The sequence below is a fragment of the Homo sapiens genome, chromosome 12 (assembly GCF_000001405.40).
Source record: "Homo sapiens chromosome 12, GRCh38.p14 Primary Assembly".
Lineage (NCBI taxonomy): Eukaryota > Metazoa > Chordata > Mammalia > Primates > Hominidae > Homo > Homo sapiens.
Window position 1 is genome coordinate 111,741,163 of NC_000012.12, and position 22,930 is coordinate 111,764,092.

At 50.2% G+C, this 22,930-nt stretch overlaps 1 protein-coding gene across 2 annotated transcripts in view, besides 4 other annotated features; it reads left to right on the forward strand.

The window, feature by feature from the left end:
* ACAD10 (acyl-CoA dehydrogenase family member 10) overlaps positions 1–15,937 on the forward strand; it is a 71,047-nt gene extending 55,110 nt beyond the window's left edge. For both annotated transcript variants that reach the window (NM_001136538.2, NM_025247.6), the window contains 9 exons: positions 3,481–3,881; positions 4,982–5,122; positions 5,887–6,024; positions 6,133–6,223; positions 7,155–7,313; positions 8,011–8,183; positions 12,610–12,753; positions 14,506–14,583; positions 15,171–15,937. In NM_001136538.2, the coding sequence (NP_001130010.1) occupies positions 3,481–3,881; positions 4,982–5,122; positions 5,887–6,024; positions 6,133–6,223; positions 7,155–7,313; positions 8,011–8,183; positions 12,610–12,753; positions 14,506–14,583; positions 15,171–15,311 (1,466 nt within the window). In that variant the 3' untranslated portion in view covers positions 15,312–15,937. The remainder of the gene's footprint in view (positions 1–3,480; positions 3,882–4,981; positions 5,123–5,886; positions 6,025–6,132; positions 6,224–7,154; positions 7,314–8,010; positions 8,184–12,609; positions 12,754–14,505; positions 14,584–15,170) is intronic.
* Positions 15,158–15,799: an enhancer, noted in NCBI's record as "H3K4me1 hESC enhancer chr12:112194124-112194765 (GRCh37/hg19 assembly coordinates)". NCBI's record gives its function as "activates a minimal SCP1, AML or CMV promoter by ChIP-STARR-seq in primed H9 embryonic stem cells {active_cell/tissue: H9 hESC(primed)}" and the evidence as "EXISTENCE:reporter gene assay evidence [ECO:0000049][PMID:30033119]".
* Positions 16,441–17,082: an enhancer, noted in NCBI's record as "H3K27ac-H3K4me1 hESC enhancer chr12:112195407-112196048 (GRCh37/hg19 assembly coordinates)". NCBI's record gives its function as "activates a minimal SCP1, AML or CMV promoter by ChIP-STARR-seq in naive and primed H9 embryonic stem cells {active_cell/tissue: H9 hESC(naive and primed)}" and the evidence as "EXISTENCE:reporter gene assay evidence [ECO:0000049][PMID:30033119]".
* Positions 17,083–17,722: an enhancer, noted in NCBI's record as "H3K27ac-H3K4me1 hESC enhancer chr12:112196049-112196688 (GRCh37/hg19 assembly coordinates)". NCBI's record gives its function as "activates a minimal SCP1, AML or CMV promoter by ChIP-STARR-seq in naive H9 embryonic stem cells {active_cell/tissue: H9 hESC(naive)}" and the evidence as "EXISTENCE:reporter gene assay evidence [ECO:0000049][PMID:30033119]".
* Positions 20,502–21,037: an enhancer, noted in NCBI's record as "NANOG hESC enhancer chr12:112199468-112200003 (GRCh37/hg19 assembly coordinates)". NCBI's record gives its function as "activates a minimal SCP1, AML or CMV promoter by ChIP-STARR-seq in naive H9 embryonic stem cells {active_cell/tissue: H9 hESC(naive)}" and the evidence as "EXISTENCE:reporter gene assay evidence [ECO:0000049][PMID:30033119]".

The following is a 22,930-nucleotide window of genomic DNA, read 5'->3' on the forward strand; positions in this document are numbered from 1 at the left end:
GGAAGCAGGAATTTCTGGAAACAATATTTTCCCTCTTTTAGGAAAATACAGTATCAGCTGTAAGCCACTATTTCCCATTTTTTTTATAGTTTTCCAATAAACACTAACCAGAAATATTTACTTAAACAGAATGGCTGCTAAGTCCTTATGGTGATGAATAGTCCTGGTCACCTCTGATATTTCCTAGCCGGCTGCCAAGTTTTCTCCCTGCTCTGCTCCAGTGACCTGGGAAAAGCTTAATAGACTGCCCATTTTAGAGTCTCCACACTGAGTGTCCTCAGCCTGTCTCTCAGGAAGCCCTTTGACATGTTTTTAAGATCCTGTGAGCCATCGTTGTGGCTTCTGGTTTCTCTCGGCCCAGAGCTAAAACACCCCACCTGTTTGCCACCAGACAGAAAAATGTCTGTTTGTTCAGGCCTTTATTCCTCTTATCTTACTGTGCACTCCTTTCCCTCCCTCTGGGAAGCCAGCCAGACACACTGAGGAAATGGCTTAGTTTTCTCATGTAAAAACAACAAAATCCATTTTTTGAAAGAATAATATAAAAACGTATGATGAATGGGGAAAAAACCAACTATACAAACATAAATATTACTTCTGTACATTTGTCTTCTACAATTAGCTTTAAAATCATTTTTGTTTGAACAGCTGAGATATTTGGTACTGGCCAGGAAAACTGGAGCTTAGAGAAGGGGTATCTGTTTCCAAGACATTCTCTCTATGGTGTCATTTACAAAAGACTTCAAATCAGCATTAGATTGGGAAGGGGATGAGAGAGACCAGAGCCCAGTGAGCAGAAGATTAACAGTATGTACCTGCCCAGCCCATGTGTCCTTCTCCTTCCTTAATAAGTGGGTGCAGAAATTAGATTTCTGGTAGATGGCCACTGAAATTCTATAAAGTGCTTATGACTGCAAGTTAAGTGGACACCAGTGATGTGGTCTCTTCTGCTGGAACTACATTTTGGAAAATATACCAGAAGCAATAGATCTAAATCAATCCAAGCTTATACAAGTGACTTTTTTCAGGGACAAAGTAGCAGTCTCAGAGTGGGAGCCAACCAAATAGAAGAAAATTAAGAATACACCTCTTACTCTGTTAGAAGAAGAAAATCCTTATGAATAATAAGGAACATAAGGGAGTATCTTTCCCTTCAATGTGCTGTGTGCAGTCCGAGGAATAAGGAATAAGCCCCCACTGTGTGTCTGCAAGGAAGAGGCTATCTGGTTTCTGACTGACTTCCCTGGGTTAGGTTCATACCTAGCACCCAGAAGGTCCTCAGTAGAGACCTATTGAGGTCCAGTAGGCTAACTCTCTGCAGGGTAGCAAAGAATTTGCTCTGAGTTTGTTCCTAACTCTGTAAGGAATAGTTTAAACTATCTTTAACACCAAAGCTGCATGAAAATGGCTGTCTCAGCTGGGCATGGTGGCTCATGCCTGTAATCCCAGCAGTTTGGTAGACTGAGACAGGAGGATTGTTTGAGGCCAGAAGTTCGAGACCAGTTTGGGCAACGTAGTAAGGCCCCATCTCTTATTTAAAAATAAATAAAATATTTATTTTTTTGAGACGGAATTTTGCTCTTGTCACCCAGGCTGGAGTGCAATGGCATGATCTCGGCCCACGGCAACCTCCACCTCCTGGGTTCAAGCGATTCTCCTGCCTCAGCCTCCCCGGTAGCTAAGATTACAGGCGTGCATCACCACACCTGGCTAAATTTTGTACTTTTAGTAGAGACAGGGTTTCACCATGTTGCCCAGGCTGGTCTCGAACTGACCTCCAGTAATCCACCCACCTCAGCCTCCCAAAGTGCTGGGGTTACAGGCGTGAGCCAAAGCACCCAGCCTAAAATGAAATCATTTAAAAAAAGAAAATGGCTGTCTCTTTAGAACTATCAATTTATCCATTTATTGGGTACAGTCTCTTGGGGACATGGAAGTGCTAGAAGTAATCCAGGAGAGCTGGCTGTGAAAAAGTTCACTGTGAGGAGACATTGTACACATAGCAATCTGGATGTGTCTCAGATGCAGGGCTCAGAGTGATGGAGGCCATACTGAAAAGGCCACATGCTGAGTGACATATGTATTTATGGGACATCCTGGAAGAGACAGACTACAGAAACAGAGATCAGTGGGTGCTGGGGATCAGGGGGGCAGGGGTTGAGTACAAAAGTACACTGGGGAAATTTCCAGATGATGGAAATATTCTGTTTTTTTTTTTTTTTTTGAAATGGAGTCTCGCTCTGTTGCCCAGGCAACCTCCGCCTCTCGGGTTCAAGTGATTCTCCTACCTCAGGCTCCCAAGTAGCTGGGACTACAGGCATGTGCCACCATGCCTGGCTAATTTTTGTATTTTTAGTAGAGACAGGTTTCACCATGTTGACCAGGCTGGTCTCAAACTCCTGACCTCCGGTGATCCACCCGCCTCAGCCTCCAAAGTGCTGAGATTACAGGTGTGAGCCATTGCGCCTGGCCGAAGTATTCTGTATCTTGATGGCAATGGTAGTTACCCAACTATGGATTTGTTAAGACTTGCAGAGTTCTACATTAAGGAGGTGTATGTACACCACTCCTCAATTTTTTTATTTTTATTTATTTATTTTTTTGAGATGGGTGCCTCACTCTCTCCCAGGCTGGAGTGCAATGGCACGATCTCGGCTCACTGCAACCTCTGCCTCCCAGGTTCAAGCGATTCTCATGCCTTAGCCTCCTGAGTAGCTGAGATTACAGGCACACACCACCATGCCTGGCTAATTTTTGTATTTTTAGTAGAGATGGGGGTTTCTCCATGTTGGCCAGCCTGGTCTTGAACTCCCGACCTCAAGTGATCCGCCCACCTCAGCCTCCCAAAGTGCTGAGATTACAGGTGTGAGCCACCGCACCTGGCCACCTTAATTTTTTTTAATGGGGAAAAATATGTTTGTAAAAAAAGTCTTGATGCACATTTTACAAGAAGAAAGAGACGCTGTGAGAGCCAAATAGTGAGCTGAGTGATGCTGGTGTTGATTCCCTCCAGAGACAGTGGTGTCTAGAAGTTGGCTCTTCCTTTAGTCAGTTGTGGCATTGCTGTTATCAATTTTGTAGCAAGGGTGGTCTAGGATGCAGGACTTCTTATAGCCCACTGGCAACGGCAGAGGTGATCTGGGGTGTTACTGATTAAATGTAGTCTTTTAGGAAAGCAGAGATCAAGAGCAGGGAGCAGGCAGACCTAAGTTGGACTCTGGCCCCCAGCCCCCTAACTTCCAGCTCGTCCAAGTCACCTCCTTCTCTAAGACTCAGTTTTCTTGCGTGCAAAGTGCAGGTGAAAGCAGTTGTATTGCTTTGGGGATTCAGTGAGCTATAGTGGCTCTTAGCACAGTGTTTGGTACTTAGCAAGTGCTCAGCAAATGGCAATAGCTGCTGAAGTGACAGTGTCATCACATGTTAACATCCCTATGATGGGTCGTGTGGGAGTAATCACTGTTTTTCTTTGATTCTGCTTAGGGCAAGCAAGCTCCACATATGCGGAACAAACTGGAAAGCTGACCGAATTTGTGTCTAACCTGGCGTGGGATTTCGCAGTCAAAGAAGGGTTCCGGGTTTTCAAAGAGATGCCCTTCACAAATCCGTTAACAAGGTCCTACCACACGTGGGCCAGGCCCCAGTCCCAGTGGTGCCCCACAGGCAGCAGGAGTTATAGCTCCGTTCCAGAAGCTTCCCCAGCTCATACCTCAAGGGGAGGTCTGGTTATCTCTCCAGAGAGCCTCTCTCCACCTGTCAGAGAGCTGTATCACCGGCTGAAGCACTTCATGGAGCAACGTGTGTACCCTGCAGAGCCAGAGCTGCAGAGTCACCAGGCCTCAGCAGCCAGGTGGAGCCCCTCCCCACTGATCGAAGACCTCAAGGTAAAGCAGCCATGGTGAGGTGGTAAGACCCCAATACCATGGCATACCCTCCCCGACCCCACCGGGCTCACCTGAACCATCCCAGGCAGTGAAGATACAGGAGCTCCGAGTTGAATGATCTTTGCTTCCATCGTCTCAGAAAGAGCCAGCTCTTCATGACTCAGTTTCCATCTCTTGCTCTTGCTGTGCCTGTGTCACAGGCAGATGGCTCAGGTGTGACTGCACAGCCCAGGCAGTGGAATGCTTGGCCTTAGAAAGCCAGGGCAGGTTAGGCCTATCTGATGGGTATTTGAATTATGTAAATTTGAAACAGTGCTGTATCAGCTAATAAATCTCTCTCTAGAGAACCCGTAATATCACAGCTAGAGGGCCAGATCCACTGTGAGCTGAGTTTCTGTGTTGTCTCCCAGTGCTGTCACTTCAGCTGATAAACAGAAACACCCGCTGTTCCTTATCACGTGAACCTTGGATTGTGTTAGTTTTGAAATTACTTGAGATCTTCAGGAGCATAATGCAATCATCATCTACTTTTCTTTTTTTCTCTTTTTTTTTGAGACGGAGTCTTGCTCTGTGCAACTTCCGCCTCCCAGGTTCAAGCGATTCTCCTGCCTCAGCCTCCCGAGTAACTGGGATTATAGGCACGTGCCACCATGCCCAGCTAATTTTTGTATTTTTAATGGAGATGGAGTTTCACCATGTTGTTCAGGCTGGTCTTGAACTCCTGACTTTGTGATCCGCCCGCCTCGGCCTCCCAAAGTGCTGGGATTACAGGCGTGAGCCACCATCTCTCTCTTTTTTTTTTTTTTTTTTTTTTTTGAGACAGGGTCTCGCTTTGTCACCCAGGGTGGAATGCAGTGGTGTGGTCATAGCTCACTGCAGTCTCAACCTCCTGGGCTCATGTGATCCTCCCACTTCAGCCTCCTGTGTAGCTGGGACCACAGGCACAGCCACCATGCCCAGCTCCTCATATCATTTTTTTGGGCACACGTGCATGTTTGGTTGTCTGCCTTGTTTCCTCCAATCCCTTTCATTGTTTTCCACGGTTCAAAATAAAATGAAATCTTCCACTGTGGTTTCCTGACTTATTTTCCCCATGATAGGAGAAAGCCAAAGCTGAAGGACTTTGGAACCTTTTCCTACCCTTAGAGGCTGATCCCGAGAAAAAATACGGAGCAGGACTGACCAATGTGGAATATGCACATCTGTGTGAGCTCATGGGCACGTCCCTGTATGCCCCCGAGGTACCTTCTTTAAAGTTTTCCTCAGTGTGTGGGAACATCCTGATCTTCATAAGAACTCAATCCTAAACAGATAAACCAGATTCAGAAGCACTGGCATGAACTTGAACTTTTTTTTTTTTTTGAGATGGAGTCTCGCTCTGTCACCCAGGCTGGAGTGTAGTGGCGAAATCTTGGCGCACTGCAACCCCTGCCTCCTGGGTTCAAGTGGTTCTCCTGCCTCAGCTTCCCAAGTAGCTGGGACTACAGGCATGTGCCACCACACCTGGCTAATTTTTGTATTTTTAGTAGATACAGGGTTTTACCATGTTGGCCAGACTGGTCTCAAACTCCTGACCTCAGGTGATCCACCTACCCTGGCCCCACAAAGTGCTGGGATTACAGGCGTGAGCCACCATGCCCATCCAATTTGAAGCTTGAAATATTAATGTGAGAAGGCCAGGCATGGTGGCTCACACCTGTAATCCCGGTACTTTTGGAGGCCGAAGTGTGGGGGATCACTTGAGGCCAGGAGTTCGACACCAGCGTGTGCAACATAGAACTCTGTATGTACAAAAAAATAAAAAATTAATCGGGTGTGATGGTGCATACCTGTAGTCTCAGCTGCTTGGGAAGCTGAGGCATGGGAGGATGGCTTGAGCTGAGGAAGTCGAGGCTGCAGTGAGCCATGATCGTGCCACGATACTCCAGCCTGGGTGACAGAGCTTGACTCTGTTTTTTTTAGAAGAGGACATGACAGTCATGGTCACGCTCCTTTTCCTTCTCAGGTATGTAACTGCTCTGCGCCTGACACGGGCAACATGGAGCTGCTGGTGAGGTATGGCACCGAAGCGCAGAAGGCTCGCTGGCTGATTCCTCTGCTGGAGGGGAAAGCCCGCTCCTGTTTTGCTATGACCGAGCCCCAGGTACGTCGCCTGGGCTGCCACCCACTTGCCTGGCCCTGTTGTTGTCGGCCCCACAGGGAACACGGGCTGTCTGCTGGCGTCTCTGACTGGAATATGCTCCCCACTCAGGTTGCCTCTTCAGATGCCACCAACATTGAGGCTTCCATCAGAGAGGAGGACAGCTTCTATGTCATAAACGGTCACAAATGGTGGATCACAGGTATTTGGCCTAAAATGCACTTTCCAAATGCACATCAGGGAGTCTGTGCTGTTAGGCGCGTCTCTCAATGCCTGGGAGGAGCCTCTGCTTTTTCAAGTTGACACAAAGGAGATTCTGTCACTTAGCGCCCCCAGCAGAGGCAGCTGGGAGAATAGGAGGGTAATCCGTGGAGCACACTGTTCTCAGAGGTGGCACTTCACAGGGCAGGGACGTCCCCCGGTGCCCACACATGGACGGATGCCTCCCTGCACATGTGACCCCAGGAATCTCTCCACTTCCTGCTGTTCATTCTGCTTTGGGCAGCTCCCCTTCCTTGGTGGCTTCCTGGCTCCTCGATCAGGTGTGTTACATCCTAAGGGCTAATGACAATCCTGACTTTTAGGGATTGTCCAGTGTTACTTTTGCAGGGCCCCTACAAGTAGCCGTGGAGCTTACCTCCCGGAGCCCATACCTCCCTGGACATTAAGAATGAGCATCCCCATTTTGCAAAGGAGGAAACCGCACTCAGACTTAGGTCCCTTGCCTGGGGTATGAGCCCCCAGCCAGCAAGTAGAGAACCCAGAGTCAAAGGTTCACCTGATTCCAAGGCCCGGGCCCAGAGCCGTTATGTGTGCACCACCTGTGGGAGCCGAGCCAGCTGGCAGGGATCAAGTAGCGGTTTTCATCCTCTTGTCTCTAAATTATATTTTCTACTCTATGTGATGCTTTTAAAAACTTGCTCTTATGATGTTGGATTCATTCCTCACTGGGACAAAACCCAATTTGCTCTTATTTCTGGTCAGCAGTCTGCAGATGCTCATCTGATTACATGGAGCCTTAAAGAGCTCTGTCTGCTTCCTTACTGTGCCTTTCTTGGGCCAGGACCACGTGTGTAGAGATTTGATGGCCCTGGTGTCAGATGATGGGGTCTGTCTCTCTCCTTTCCTGGCAGGCATCCTGGATCCTCGTTGCCAACTCTGTGTGTTTATGGGAAAAACAGACCCACATGCACCAAGACACCGGCAGCAGTCTGTGCTCTTGGTTCCCATGGATACCCCAGGGATAAAAATCATCCGGCCTCTGACGGTGTATGGACTGGAAGATGCACCAGGTGAGACCTCCAGGGGCGGGTCACCCCTGGGTGTGGGTCTGGTCCCCAGGAAACACCACTGAGGGGCCCCTGCTCTTGTTCAGGACTTGCCACATCCCACGTCTGAGGGTATGATGACATTTGGAGTCACATGCTCCTGCATTTCATTTCCATACATGAATATCAACCATGCAGGCGGATTTCAGACAGGCATTTATGGATTTTTTTCCCTCTTCTAAACTTAGAAAGTAATCAGGAGTCTGTGACACAGGAAGCCATACAGGGCAGACGCAGGAAGTGGACCCCAAACCTACTCTTCCAGGCCCCAGTGTGAACAGCTGACCTCTAGGCCACAGCCCTGGTTTGGTCCGCTCCCAGTTTGGTTCTCTGCTAATAGTGTTCACATTTTTACTTTCAGTGTTTTCATAGGATCACTACATTGTCACAAACCACTAGGAGCTTCAGCTTAAGGTGGCATTATTATGTTTTTATAAAAGGAATCACAGAATAGTCATTTGCCATTATAAATCAGTGATTCATTTTCTGTGTTTAACAGGCTGTTTCCTGCCGTCCTTTTCCCTTTAACCATGTCCCAGTAAGAAGGCTAAATAAAGGGCAGGGACATTGCCAGCAGATAACCCAGACTGAGGTGAGGAATAAACACATCCAAGGAAAATGACTATGGCTATTGCTCACAGTGATCGTTTGGGTCTTTCAGGTGGCCATGGTGAAGTCCGATTTGAGCACGTGCGTGTGCCCAAAGAGAACATGGTCCTGGGCCCTGGCCGAGGCTTTGAGATCGCCCAGGGCAGACTGGGCCCCGGCAGGATCCATCACTGCATGAGGCTGATCGGGTTCTCAGAGAGGGCCCTGGCACTCATGAAGGCCCGCGTGAGTGCTTTCCCCCGCACCCAGCACTGACTCAGAACCACCACCTTCTGCTTTGCTGTCGGACTTCAATTCCTACCTGTTTTCTGAGTGCAGTCCTAGCAGGTGAAGCAAGGTGATGTCCTTGCCAAGAAGTTGCATTCCTGTCTGCTTTGCATCTGCTACTTTGCTGCAGTTTGGATTCAGAGCAGAATGGACCCCACTCTGTCGAGGTGACCTGAAGGGAAACGCCAGGCTCTGTAGCAGCAGAGGCAAGGTTCCAAGGTGTAAAGGTCATGCTGCTAGCACATTATTAAAAATCAGTCTGGGTGCAATGGCTCACAGCTATAATCCCAGTACTTTGGGAGGTCTAGGTAGGAGGGTTGCTTGAAGCCAAGCATTTGAGACCAGCCTAGGCGAAAAAGAGAGACTCAGTCTCTACAAAAAAAAAAAAAATTTTTTTTTTTTTTTTGAGATGGAGTCTTGCTCTGTCACCAGGCTGGAGTTCAGTGGTGTGATCTCGGCTCACTGCAACCTCCACCTCCCGGGTTCAAGCAATTCTCCTGCCTTAGCCTCCCAAGTAGTTGGGACTACAGGCACGTGCCACCACGCCCAGCTAATTTTTGTATTTTTAGTAGAGACAGGGTTTCACCATGTTGGCCAGGAAGGTCTCGATCCCTTGACCTCGTGATCTGCCCGCCTCGGGCTCCCAAAATGCTGGGATTACAGGTGTGAGCCACCGTGCCCGGCAAAAAAAAGAAAAAGTTTTTTTTGTTTTTTTTTTTTTTGAGACGGAATCTCACTCTGTTGCCTAGGCTGGAGTGCAGTGGCGCGATCTTGGCTCACTGCAACCTCTGCCTACTGGGTTCACACCATTCTCTTGCCTCAGCCTCCCGAGTAGCTGGGACTACAGGCACCCGCCACCATGCCTGGCTAATTTTTTGTATTTTTAGTAGAGATGGGGTTTCACCATGTTAGCCAGGATGGTTTCGATCTCACCGTGTTAGCCAGGATGGTCTCGATCTCCTGACCTCATGATCCGCCCACCTCAGCCTCCCAATGTGCTGGGATTACCGGCGTGAGCCACCGTGCCTGGCCAAAAAGAAAAAGTTTTAAGTGCCAGGCATGGTAGCATGTGTCTCTAGTCCCAGCTACTCAGGAGGCTGAGGCAGAAGGATCGCTTGAGCCCAGGAGTTTAGGGCTGCAGTGAGCAGTGATCACACCACTGCACTCCAGCCTGGGTGACAGAGTGAGACCCTGTCTCTTTAAAAATAAATAAATAAATAAAAATCAGACACCAGGGAGATCCCATGTTGCTTGTTTTTGTCCCTAGGCTTCCATCATCTGGCCTGTACCACCCTCCTCCACAGCACATCCAGAAAACTTTATTCGGCCATAATCCTACCACCCCCAAAGTTTGGAAACCTAGGTTAAAAGACAGCTGCTTCCAGGACAGGAATTCAAATTGGTGATTATCAATTTCAGAAAGGTGACGCAAACCCTGAGACCAAAACCAGTGTCTCACAAGAACTGCTATTGAAAGAACAGAGGCAGTCTGAATTTTTTATTACCGAGCAAACCTGTGATTTACACCCTTTTGAGTTAAGACTGACCAGTTATTTTTTCTTTCTAAGTAAAACGCTCCTGTCTATGGACTCAGGTATGGTGCTTCAGCCCCACATGGAATTAAATTCAGCCTTCTGGCAGAATAATTGGACTGAATGAGTCAGACAGAAGTCTCCAGAAAGTGCATAGCATGAACATGGCACCTCCACTGAAGACTTGGTTGGAGTAATTAGGAATCTACAAAAGATTTGCTACAAGGAGGTTCACCACAGTGCTTATTGAAATAGCAAAATTCTGAACAACCTATAAGGCTAACAATGACTGTTGGCCAAATAAAACACAAGATGGCATACAGTGAGACTTTAAATGATGCTGTGGAAATCTATTCCTTAACATGGAGAAATTGCTCACTATATACACTTAAATTTAAAAAAAAAGACTGTGGCCAGGTGTGGTGACACTCCCAGCACTCTGAGAGGCCGAGGCAGGCAGATTGCTTGAGCCCAGGAATTTGAAACTAGCCTGGGCAATACGGCAAAACCTCATCTCTATAAAAAATAAGGCTGGGCGCGGTGGCTAACGCCTGTAATCTCAGCACTTTGGGAGGCTGAGGTGGGCGGATCACTTCAGGTTAGGAGTTTAAGACCAGCCTCGCCAACATGGTGATACCCCGTCTCTACTAAAAATACAGAAGTTAGCTGGGCATGGTGGCACATGCCTGTAATCCCAGCTACTTGGGAGGCTGAGGCAGGAGGATCACTTGAATCCAGGAGGCGGAGGTTGCACTGAGCTGAGATTGCACCACTGCACTCTAGCCGGAGTGACAAAGCAAGACTCCATCTCAAAAAAAAAAATTAAAATTAAAAAATTAAAAATAGTAGCCAGGTGGGGCTGGGTGTGGTGGCTCATACCTGTAATTCCAGCACTTTGGGAGGCCGAGGTGGGCAGATCACCTGAGGTCGGGAGTTCGAGTCCAGCCTGACCAACATAGAGAAACCCTGTCTCTACTAAAAATATAAAATTAGTTGGACGTGGTGGCGCATGCCTGTAATCCCAGCTACTTGGGAGGCTGAGGCAGGAGAATCGCCTGAACCCGGGAGGTGGAGGTTGCGGTGAGCCGAGATCGCACCATTGCACTCCAGCCTGGGCAACAAGAGCGATACTCTGTCTCAAAAAAAAAAAAAAAAAGTAGCCAGGTGTGGTGGCACACATTTATAGTCCTAGCTACTCAGGAGGCTGAGGTGGGAGGATCTCCTGAGCCTGGGAGGTCGAGGCTGCAGCGACCTGTGAGTGTGCCATTGCACTGCAGCCTGGGTAACAGAGCAACACCCTGTCTGGGAAAAAAAAAAACAAACAAAAACAGGCTGTTAGCTTTGATGCAAAATAATGTTTTGTTGTTGTTGTTGTTGTTGTTGTTATTGTTTTAAGCAGGCTGGCCGGGTGCTGTGGTTCATGCCTGTAATCCCAGCACTTTGAGAGGCCAAGGCAGGCAGATCACCTGAGGTCAGGAGTTCAAGACCAGTCAGGCCAAAATTATGAAACACCCCATCTCTATTAAAAAAATACAAAAATTAGCCAGGTGTGGTGGCAGGCACCTGTAATCTCAGCTACTTGGGAGGCTGAAGCAGGAGAATCACTTGAACCCCGGGAGGCAGAGGTTGCAGTGAGCCGAGATCGCGCCACTGCACTCCAGCCTGGGCAACAAAAGCGAAACTCTGTCTCAAACAAACAAAAAGGCTACAAAACCATATATAGAGTGTGGCTCCCGTTTTTGGAAAAAATAAGTATATATAAAAAAACTATAGAAGGATAGAGGAGAATATCCACCAAATATTAACTAGTGGTGACTAGATGGTGGGATTCTAGGTGCTCTTACTGTCTTCTCTTTTTTTGTTCTGAAAACAGGTAGTTTTTCTGCCATGAGATAAATTATTTGTGTAGATTGTTTTTAGTGAAAAAAAAAAAAAAAAACTAGGCTGGGTGTGGTGGTTCATGCCTGTAATCCCAACACTTGGGGAGACCAAGGCAGGAGGATTGCCTGAGTCTAAGAGTTTGAGACCAGTCTGGGCAATGTAGTGAGACCCTGTCTCTACAAAAAATTGGAAAGTTAGCTAGATGTGGTGGTTCTTGCCTGTGGTCCCAGCTACTCAGGTGGCTGAGGTAGGAAGATTGCTTGAGCCCGGGAGGCGGAGGTTGCAGTGAGCCAAGATCACGCCACTGCACTCCAGCCTGCGCAACAAAGTGAGACCCCGTCTCCAAAAAAATAATAAAAAAAAGAAGGAAAAAGAATAAATAAAACAAGAAAAAAAAAGGAATACTTAGAACCTTTTCTGATGCCTTGTGACTTTCAGAATTTAAAATCCCCCTTGCAGATAAGGCCACCCACGGCGGAAGGCCGGGAGCGAGACGGGGCTGAGGGGACCTTGCTCCCATTGGAGCTGCAGGGCAGGAAGGGGTGCTGCGGTCAGCAGAGGGCACCCTTCGCCTGCGCCGTGTGCAGTGCCTGCAGTCACTCCCTCATTCCCAGGAGTAGCCTTGGGTCAGATGCTGGCTCAGATCTATAACTGCTCCTGTCTGGTAGCCAGGCCTGCCCAGATGTGCAATGGCTGGAATAAAGGGTTCTTGGAAGCAATTTGTTACAGGCACCCTGTGGGCTGTGGCTGGCTGTGGCACACGTGAAGGTTGTGTGTCAGACCTACTCCCTGGACATGGCGCATGGCTGCACACAGGCACCTTGGCTGAGAAGATGCACAGTCCTGGTTTCACTCTCCTCCCCTGCCCTGTCCTGTCTGCTTCCACCCAGCTCTGCAGGCCACCAGCCCCCGCCTCTCGTGGCCACCCCCAGCCCAGCATGTCCTCAGCCGCACATCTCCTGTGTCGACAGGTGAAGTCCCGCTTGGCTTTTGGGAAGCCCCTGGTGGAGCAGGGCACAGTGCTGGCGGACATCGCGCAGTCGCGCGTGGAGATTGAGCAGGCACGGCTGCTGGTGCTGAGAGCTGCCCACCTCATGGACCTGGCAGGAAACAAGGTAGGGGCAGGGGCACGAGGGGGCCTCCCAGAGGCAGAGATTCTTCCTCCTCACTCAGCAAAGCATGAGAGCCTGGCTTCTTGACATTAGAAACTTTATTTCACCTCTACTTGGAGCTGTTTGGGCAGTTTTTCAAAAATTGGAAAGGCACAAGAAGAGAGGACTGGCCTTTGTGTTTTACTGACCTGGTGAGCTGCTTAGTCCAAGGCAGTGGGTCTGATGGGGCCACAGGGCCCCTGGGTGGCCCTGGACTCCCAGGGCCATTGGTGGAGGTGTTGGGCAACCTAAGAGTAAGGCAGGGAAAAGGGACCCTCTGCTGGCCTTCATCTGAATATTGAATTAACAAAAATAGAAGCTTATTTTCAAGTGTGACATTAGTCATTCACTAAGGCTCTTTTTAACCTTTTATTTATTTATTTTTTGAGACAGGGCCTTGCTCTGTAGCCAGGCTAGAATGCAGTGGTACATCATGGCTCACTGAAGCCTCAGCCTCCCAAGTAGCTGGGACTCCAGGCGCAAACCTCCATGCCCAGCTAATTCTTTATTTTTTGTAGAGACCGGCTCTCACCATGTTGCCCAGGCTAACTAAGGCTCTTTCTAAGTGCCTGTGATGACCAAGCACAATGCCATGTTGACCTTGCTTTGTCCAGCTTTCTGTGGGGCAGCCTCCAACCCCACCCAAGACCCTCAACCATCAGGGACCAACCCATGCTCATGCTCACAGTTCCTGGTTCTTTGACGCTGGCGTGCTAGATATGGTGGAGGCTGCTGGGTGTCTCCCTTGAACACCCTGCCCCAGGGCAGATCACTGTAGCTCGGTTTCCCAGAGCCCTGAGTGGCCTTGGTCCACTGCTGCTTGGAGGCAGAGCTGGCCGTGACCCTGAGCAAAGCACAGGACCCTCCCCTTATCCCTTCAGTGTGTGCTGGCTGTGTTCCCCGTCATCTGGGAAGACAGCCACATTCTGCCAGCACTTGCTTCGCATCTTGTGACATAAGATAATAGTTGCCAACATGGCGCCCTTCATCCCTGGGTGCTGTCAAGCCGTACACCAGGCAGGGGCAGCCTCACCCAGCTCACATCAGCGAGACCTTGGGGCCTCTGTTTTGGACGGTGGTGTTTGACTTCTTGCTGGGAATCTGATCATTCTTCCAGGCTTTCTGCCTTCGGGTCTTTTTTGTGGTTTAGTTTTTCGTTTTGTTTTTGAGAGACAGAGTCTCACTCGGTGGCCCAGGCTGGAGTAGAGTGGCACAATCTTGGCTCACTGCAACCTCCGCCTCCCGGGTTCAAGCAGCTCTCTTGCCTCAGTTTCCCAAGTAGCTGGGACTACAGGTGTGCACCATCACGCCCAGCTAATTTTTGTATTTTTTAGTAGAGACTGGGTTTCACTATATGTTGGCCAGGTTGGTCTCAAACTCCTGACCTCAGGTGATCTGCCCGCCTCGGCCTCCCAAAGTGCTGGAATCACAGGCCTGAACCACCGCGCCTGGCCTGTTGTTTGTTTTTGAGAGGGGGTCTCACTCTGTTGTCCAGGCTTGAGTGCAGTGTTGCAATCTCAGCTTACCACAGCCCCCAACTTCCCAGACTCAAACAATCCTCTCACCTCAGCCTCCTGAGTAGCTGGGACTACAAGCACATGCTACCACACCCTGCTAGTTTTTGTATTTTTAGTAGAGATGGGGGACGGGGGGGCCTCACTCTGCCACCCAGGCTGCCCTCGGGTCTTTTATGATCGCATCTCCTCCTCCTTACAGGCTGCAGCCTTGGATATAGCCATGATTAAAATGGTCGCCCCGTCCATGGCCTCCCGAGTGATTGATCGTGCGATTCAGGTGAGCACAGACCAGACAGTTGGCTTATTTGAACCATCAATACTAGATGCCAAACTCTCCTATCTTCAGCCGCCCAGCCTCCCATAGACCCTGGCAGATGCCCTGTGTCACCCACTCACCATGCATGCAACTTTCCTTTTCCTCTTCAGAATGACCCAGCAAGGTGGGAGGTGCCATCGTACCCCCATTTTGAATGTGAGGAAACAGGCACAGAAAAGTGAAGTGACTTGTCCAGGTCACTGAGCTTGCAAGTAGCTGACCTCAAATTCACATGAACTTGGGTTTTCATAAGCCCAGAGCCCAGGCTCTTTCCCATGCAGGGGGGCCGCCTCCTTAGATCCTAACCCCCGGCCCCAGCACAGGGCAGAAGGCACCTGCAGAGTGGGCCTGGGGAGTCTGGAGGCCGTGGGATGGCAGGTGTGGCCCCATGGAAGCCCTCTGGAATATTAGTGATTGTATCACATAGGTGCCACAGGGAAGTCCGGGAAGATGGTTGTTATGGGCCATCAAGAGCAGGCTATCATTCCTGGGGCTCTCGGAGACAAGGGCTGACCCAGGGCCGCCTCCCTCCACTCTGTGTCTGCCAGGCCTTTGGAGCAGCAGGCCTGAGCAGCGACTACCCACTGGCTCAGTTCTTCACCTGGGCCCGAGCCCTGCGCTTTGCCGACGGCCCTGACGAGGTGCACCGGGCCACGGTGGCCAAGCTAGAGCTGAAGCACCGCATTTAGAGCCTTGGGGCTGCAGTGGCTCAATGTCCTGGCTGGTCCAGCTGTGCCCAGATCTGTCACTGATGTGCCTCGAAAGATCCGGTGTTTGTGGCTCCTGCACCCTGCTCAGCAGCTCTGTCCCGGGACAGTCAGGGTGGACTCAATCTTTCTGGTTCTCCACAGAAGACGTCTCTGCAAGAAGCCTGGAGTCTGTTTCAGGCCAGGAGGAGGGGATTTGCTGAGGGCCAAGGGGGTTCTGGGACAGAGTCTGGAAAGCTGGTCTTCAGGCTCTCAGTCCCAGGCTGGGCAGGCACGGTCACTTCACTTCAGCCTTTCAGTCCCTCTCTCTCTGCCTGTGGGAATCTGGACACATTTTGGGAGGCCTCCCAAGGCTGTGGGACGTGCTTGCTCTGGCAGCTGCAGGGTTCCTGTCTGGCCTCCCTGGTGAGCAGAGGGGCGGCCACGGCGGGCGGTGGCCTAGAGACCCAGGACCTGGGCGCCTGGGAAAATGGAATGCAACCCACATTGTAAAGCCACTGGCATCTGATTATCTCCATTTGAACACACAGCACAGAACAATCATTTAAATGTTATTTTGGAAAGGGGTTTTGGGGACACAGAAGAATAAGTAAACACATCTCGGAGGCTTTGTGGACTTTCTGTGTCATACAAAGAGAATCGAGTGGAGAGGTTCCCTTCAGCGCCTTCATGCCTCCTCCTGCCTGTGTTTCCTCGAGGTCCAGGCCATCATCTCAGCCCCATACATGCTGGGAGCACAGAGGCCACGGGTCCGATAAGTCCCGAGTTGGCTGCCTTCCCTCACTATGTAGCCCGGGGCTCTGTGCTCATACATACTTTACCCAGGAGCTGGCATGTGAGGCCCCTGCAGCCTCCACCTGCTCCATAGTCAGAATATCTGGGCGAAGGGGAGGTGGTGGCCCATTCGCCATTACACTTTGGAGCACAATCTCTCTTCTCTGAGGAGAGTGGAAATGCTTACTCACTTGCAGTCTGAGCTCCTTGAGAAACCCAGCGACATGCAGAGGTGAGCCAGGGGCAGTGAGGCCCCAGCCTGCTCGTCTCATAACTCGTGGTGGGGTAGCCAAAACTCGTCTCAGGTTAGACCAGACGGGCAGGAACCATCCCCCCCGGCTGCCACCTTGCAGAGGTGACCCTGTGGGAACTGCCTTCCCTGAGAATGGCCAGCCAGGATCAGCACCATGAGGGGCCCGTGAATGGGCTCCTCAGACCCACATGCCCAGGGGTCTGGGGAGGCAGGTCCCCCTTCACCACACTTGAGAAACTGCTTGTTGCTCAAGGAAGTTAAACCCCAAACAAATGCCTGTCACAATGACAGCCACACTGGCCAGGAGCCCACTGCTAAGCTGGCAGGAGCGCAGCAGCTGAGTGCTCCCTCAGGCTCCGGGAGGAGAGGTTTTCTTCAAAAAAAAGGAAGTGGTCGTGGCCTGGCCTGTCTCATGGGCCTAAGAATGTCTTTCGTGGCCTCTGAGGTTAACCTTGCCTGTTCAGTAACGCAGCTGCTGAGAGGAAAATGGGAGTCAGGCTGTGGGTACCCCCATATCTCCCTCAGATCCTCTGCCTTGAGGGCTAGAGACCCCGGGGGCCCCAGGAATGCTGCCTGCAGACAGGCAGGTCCCCCCCAGGCCCTCCACCTCTGCTAGATCATTCTGCCCACCACTGTCGAGGGAGCCTCAGCTCTGGGCCCAGCAGGAGTCCAGGCCTTGGGGAATGTGCAAGTAAACAAAACAGGACAACTGCTGGCCTTTGGGGGTTTGCATCTCAAGTAGGGGATGGCGGTTAGTGCCCCAGAGGCCTGGGCGTGTGATGGGGCAAGCACTGCTGGGGCTGGAGGCTGAGGGGAGGACTCTTTCCAGAAGAGGTGTCTCAGCCAAACCTGCCTGACAAGAAGAAAGGGCAGGCTGGGCGCCGCGGGTCACACACATAATGCCAGCACTTCGGGAGGCCAGATGGTGTCTGGATGCCAAGACCTGTGCTCGCCAAGGCCTGATTTCAGATACCGTCAGATCATTCCACAACAATCCTACAGAGGCTGCAAAGAGACACTTCCAGGCAACTTGTCTGGGCAGGGCCCCTTCAAGACGGCAGCTGGGAGTGACACCGAAAGAACAGGCTCCAGTGATCTCTGCTGCTTGTACCCATTGTCAGTCCCCCAGGGTTGTCGGTCACCACCCAGGGCTTCAGAGTTCCCCAGGGATGCCTCGGGCGTGCCAAGGCTGTCACTCAGAGACCCCTCTTGTTGGTATTTCTGCTGCCCTCCCTGCTGCGACATAGGTACAGATTTCTCCCCTTCGTCCATTTTACCAAAATGGATGCGCGTTGGGACAGGTGAGTCCCGGACTCCAGCGGCCTGGGGCCCACACCTGCAAGTAACCTGGGACAGGGTTTCTTTTAATCAAGTTGACTGAGTGGAGAAATGGCCCAGGGGATTTTCTGTCCTATCAGTGTTAGACGGATGACACAGTGGTGAAGAGCTGTCAGAGGTAAAGGCGGACACTAAAGTGGTAGGGACAGGTTTTATTTATTTTTCTGAGACAGAGTCTCACTCTGTTGCCCAGGCTGGAGTGCATTGGTGCCATCTTGGCTCACTGCAACCTCCACCTCCTGGGTTTAAGCAGTTCTCCTACCTCAGCCTTCCGAGTAGCTGGGATTACAAGCATGCACCACCATGCCTGGCTAATTTTTGTATTTTTAGTAGAGACAGGGTTTTGCCATGTTGACCAGGCTGGTCTTGAACTCCCGATTTCAAGTGATCTGCCTGCTTCAACCTCCCAAAGTGCTGGGATTATAGGCGTGAGCCACCGTGCCCAGCAGGGACAGGTTTTAATCAGTCATAAGCCATTGCTTTAGAGAGCAGGGCCCAGCGGGAACTGAGCTCCACTTGGATTTGTGCGGAGGTGATGGGAGGGGTGGTGGTTGGGAGGGGGGCTCAAGAGTCAGGAAGGGGAACCAGAGAGAGCAGGAAGGAGTGTGGTTGGCGTGACACCTGTCTGGGTTTGCTAACTGGCGCTTAGGGTTAGGCTCCTGCCCTCCCTTGGAGGCTGGGGGACAGGGTCCATCTTCTAGTGTTGCTGGAACAAACAGTAATTTCTTTCAGCAGCTTTGGGCTTTCTCAGGCAGGTACGGGCATCCCACAGATGTGGTCTTGAGATGTTGGACACCATGTAACTTAAGTCTTTTCATGGGAGTATGGGGGTGTGGACTTAAGCATTTGTGCTGAAAGTCTGCAGTTTTAATATGCCAAGTTTGAGGTCTAGTGGAGATGGGAGTTCAGAGGAAGGCTGGCGAGAGCGTGCTCAAGGAGAGAATTTTTGTCAGGACTGTGGCTCTAGATTCAAATGGCCCAAATTCAAATGGGTTTAAATCCTGACTCTGTGACAGAGTAGCTGGGCAACCTTTGGAAATGTTCCTTCATCTTAGAGACTTAGATCTCTCGTTTTATTTATTTATTTATTTAAATTTTTTTTAAGAGACAGAGGTCTCACCATGTTGGCCAGGCTGGTCTCAAACTCCTGAGCTCAAGCAATCCTCCTACCTCAGCATCCCAAAGTGCTGGGATTATAAGCATGCGCCACCACACCCGGCCAGATTTCTCATTTGAAAAATGAGTAGACCAGTCCTTGCTTCCCAGAATCACCTGAGGATTAAATGGGATGATGTGTGGCTTACCATAAGCCACAGCACACACCAGCTGTTCGTGTGTGGCTGGAGTCAGGAGCGGGACCCGCTAAAGAGGAGGCGGCTGTGCTCACATTGGAGTGCAAGAATGTGGGGCCTCATCTGGGCTGAGGACTAGCCTGGACCACATAAGATGCCATGCTTCTCACACTCAACTAGCAAAGGAATGCCCCTGCGATCAGGTTAAAATGCAGAGCGTGGTGCGGTGGGCCTGCCTTCCTAACACACTTGCAGGTCATGCTCCTTGTTTTGGGACCCACTTTGAGAAGCGAGGGTGAGAAGGGCTTGACTTCCCTAACCTGATCCCCAGGGGAGGCAGAATGAGCAGACACCGCCTGGCTAGAATCATAAGAGCTACTGGGTATTTAGTACATACCAGGTGCCAAGAACTATCTGTATATTATTATTATTATTGTTTTTTGAGACAGAGTCTCACTCTGTTGTGCAGGCTGGAGTGCAGTGGTACGATCTCAGCTCACTGCAGCCTCTGCCTCCCGGGTTCAAGTGATTTTCCAGTCTCAGCTTCCTGAGTAGCTGGGACTACAGGCACGCACCACCACACCTGGCTAATTTTTGTAATTTTAGTAGAGACGGTTTCACCATGTTGGCCAGGCTTGTCTTGAACTCCTGACAGGTGATTGACCCACCTCAGCCTCCTAAAGTGCTGGGATTACAGGCATGGCCACTGCGCCTGGCCAGTTATTTTGAACCCTATAACAATTGGCAGATCCTTTTATTCTGCCCCTGCTAGAGATGAGGAGACAGAGGTTCAAAGGAATTGTGCAACTTGCTTAAGATCACACAGCTTGTCAGTGAATTCAAACCTAAATTCAGAAGATCCCAGAGCTCTTTCTACTCCATGGCATGGATCGTTAAGATCACCTCTGTGAGGTACTGGCCTCCTCACCTAGGAAAGGAGGAAGATGATGAGGCTCATGTCACCAAGGAGAGCGTGCTGTGCCCTCAAGAAGTGCATGAGCTTCTGATGCTTCCAGAATAATCTCCGGGATGCCCCCCCGACTGCCTCTTAGGGGGTCAGGCTCCATGATGGGGGTGTCTGCCCTGTGGCCCTGGCTGCCTGTGGAGTGTCAAGCCAGCTGTGTGTCCGAGAGAGAGAGAGATTGTGTGTGTGTGTGTGTGTGTGTGTGTGTATGTGTGTGTGTGTACATATGCAAACAAGGAGGGCAGAGCTGGGGCTCAGGGCTGACCATATTTTTCCTCCTACCTGTGAGGGCAGATGTCTTACTGTGTTTTGTTTTGTTTTGCTTTTGAGACGGAGTTTTGCTCTTGTTGCCCAGGCTGGAGTGCAATGGCATTATCTCAGCTCACCGCAACCTCCGCCTCTCGGGTTAAAGCGATTCTCCTTCCTCAGCCTCCCAAGTAGCTGAGATTACAGGCATGCACCACTACACCTGGCTAATTTTGTATTTTTAGTAGAGATGGGGTTTCTCCATGTTGGTCAGGCTGGTCTAGAACTCCCAACTTCAGATGATCCGCCCGCCTCGGCCTCAAAGTGTTGGATTATAGGCTGAGCCACTGCCCCCAGCCAGATGTCTTCCTGTTAAAATGGGGCTTTAAATTCCTCACCTAACATCATTGTTTGCAACAACAGCAACAAAGAGCTTCCATAGACAGAGTCAGTGTCCCAGAACGGGGACTAAACAACCAAACATCTAGAATCTCACCAGTCAGTGACCCTGAAGGAGACCTCAGTCACAACCTTTGTTGGAGAGCAAGTGGAACTAGGGTTTTTTAAAGCCTGAAAGCACATCAGTTGTGCCCTAACAATGAAAGGTTTCAGAGTAGTTGAAAGCTAGGAATTTGAATATCTTAGAGGAAGTTAAGTGGCTTGAGGTGCTTCCACCGAAGGTCTCAGCACCATGAGAATGCCTGTGCTTCTGCCGGCCCCATTCCTGCCAGTGAGCCCACAGACAAGGGGCGATGAAGAACCAGGAAACAGATGGAAAGAAACGTGGAAGAGAGGAAAGCCTCAGACTGTCAGGGTGAAATCTAGGTTGAGAGTTAAGTTTTAGTTCATTCTTTGGAGAGACTGAGCCACAAGGAGCCATAATTACAATAGCGTTTCAGCACATCCAGGTGATCTTGGTCTGCAGTATTTGGTTGAGGACTGTGTGAAAGCAGCTGAGGCCAAATGTGGTGGCTCACACCTGTAATCTCAGCATTTTGGGAGGCTGACTTGGGTGGATCACTTGAGGCCAGGAGTTTGAGACCAGCCTGGCTAATATGGTGAAACCCTGTCTCCACTAAAAATACAAACATTAACCAGGCATGGTAGTGCATGCCTGTAATCCCAGCTACTTGGGAAGCTTGAGGCAGGAGAATCGCTTGAACCCAGGAGGCAGAGGTTGCAGTGAACTGAGATGGTACCACTGCACTGCAGCTTGGGCAACAGAGAGAGACTCCGTCTCAAAAAAAAAAAAAAAAAAAAAAAAAGCAGCTAAGGAAGGCTACTATGGTCACAAAAGACTTCCCAGAAGATGGGACTTGGGCTGGATCTTGATAGGGAAGATTTCCATAAGGAGAGAGGGCAGGACATGGGTGGAACAGGTGCACCAACAGTAGGGCACCAGGGATGAGAGAGCTGCTGGTTAGGATTATGGTGAGCACCACAGACCACAGACAAACCAGAATAAACGAACCTGTGGACCAGCGTGTCCTGCACTGAGACACACACCACGCACACCAACAGGGACGAAGCACGTTGCCCACATTGTATCGATGTATGCGAATGTGGATAAGTCAGCTCATTTTCTCCTTCCCCTCCCCACAACCAAGTTTACTGCTGCTCCTGGCTCCCCCATCCTGGGGAATAGCACATGGTAAGAACCTCAGCACCCACTCCACTCCTCTCGCCCTCATCTCCACACAGCTACCTGTCAATTCCACCTTCACACTCTTTCTGCCAACTGAGCCCTCCTCATCTCTCTGCCTCTGGCCTGCCTCCCCACTACAACTGAGTTTCCATGCAGTTCTCAGAGGAATCCCTCGAAGGCACATGTGCAACCTCATCACTTCCAGGCTGAAAGATCTTGGTTAAGAGAAATATTAGTACAAGCTATTAAGACTTAGGAGGCTGCCGGGCATGGTGGCACATGCCTGTAGTCTCAGCATTTTGGGAGGCCAAGGTGGGCTGACTGCTTGAGCCCAGGAGTTCAAGACCAGCATGGGCAACATAAAGAGACCCTATCTCTACAAAAAAAAAAAAAAAAAATTAGCTGGTGCCTTAGTCCGTTTTCATGCTGCTGATAAAGACATACCTGAGACTGGGCAATTTACAAAAGAGGTTTAGGCCAGGTGCGGTGGCTCATGCCTGTAATCCCAGCACTTTGGGAGGCCAAGGCAGGTGGATCACCTGAGGTCAGGAGTTCGAGACTAGCCTGGCCAACATGTTGAAACCCCATCTCTACTAAAAAATACAAAAATTAGCCAGTCGTGGTGGCACGTCTGTAATCCTAGCTACTTGGAAGGCTGAGGAAGGAGAATCGCTTGAATCTGGGAGGCGGAGTTTGCAGTGAGCCAAGATAGCACCACTGCACTGCAGCCTGAGTGACAGAGCTAGACTGTGTCTCAAAAAAAAAAAAAAAGAAAAGAAGTTTAATGGACTTATAGTTCCACATAGCTGGGGAGGCCTCACAATCACGGCAGAAGGCAAGGAGGAGCAAGTCACGTCTTACATAAATGGCCGCAGGCAGAAAAAGAGCTTGTGCAGGGAAACTCCCGTTTTTAAAACCATCAGATCTCGTGAGACTCATTCACTATCAAAAGAACAGTGCAGTAAAGACCTGCCCCCATAATTCAGTCACCTCCCACCAGGTTCTTCCCATAACATGTGGGAATTGTGGGAGTTACAATTCTAGATGAGATTTGGGTAGGGACGCAGTGAAACCATATCAGTCAGGCAT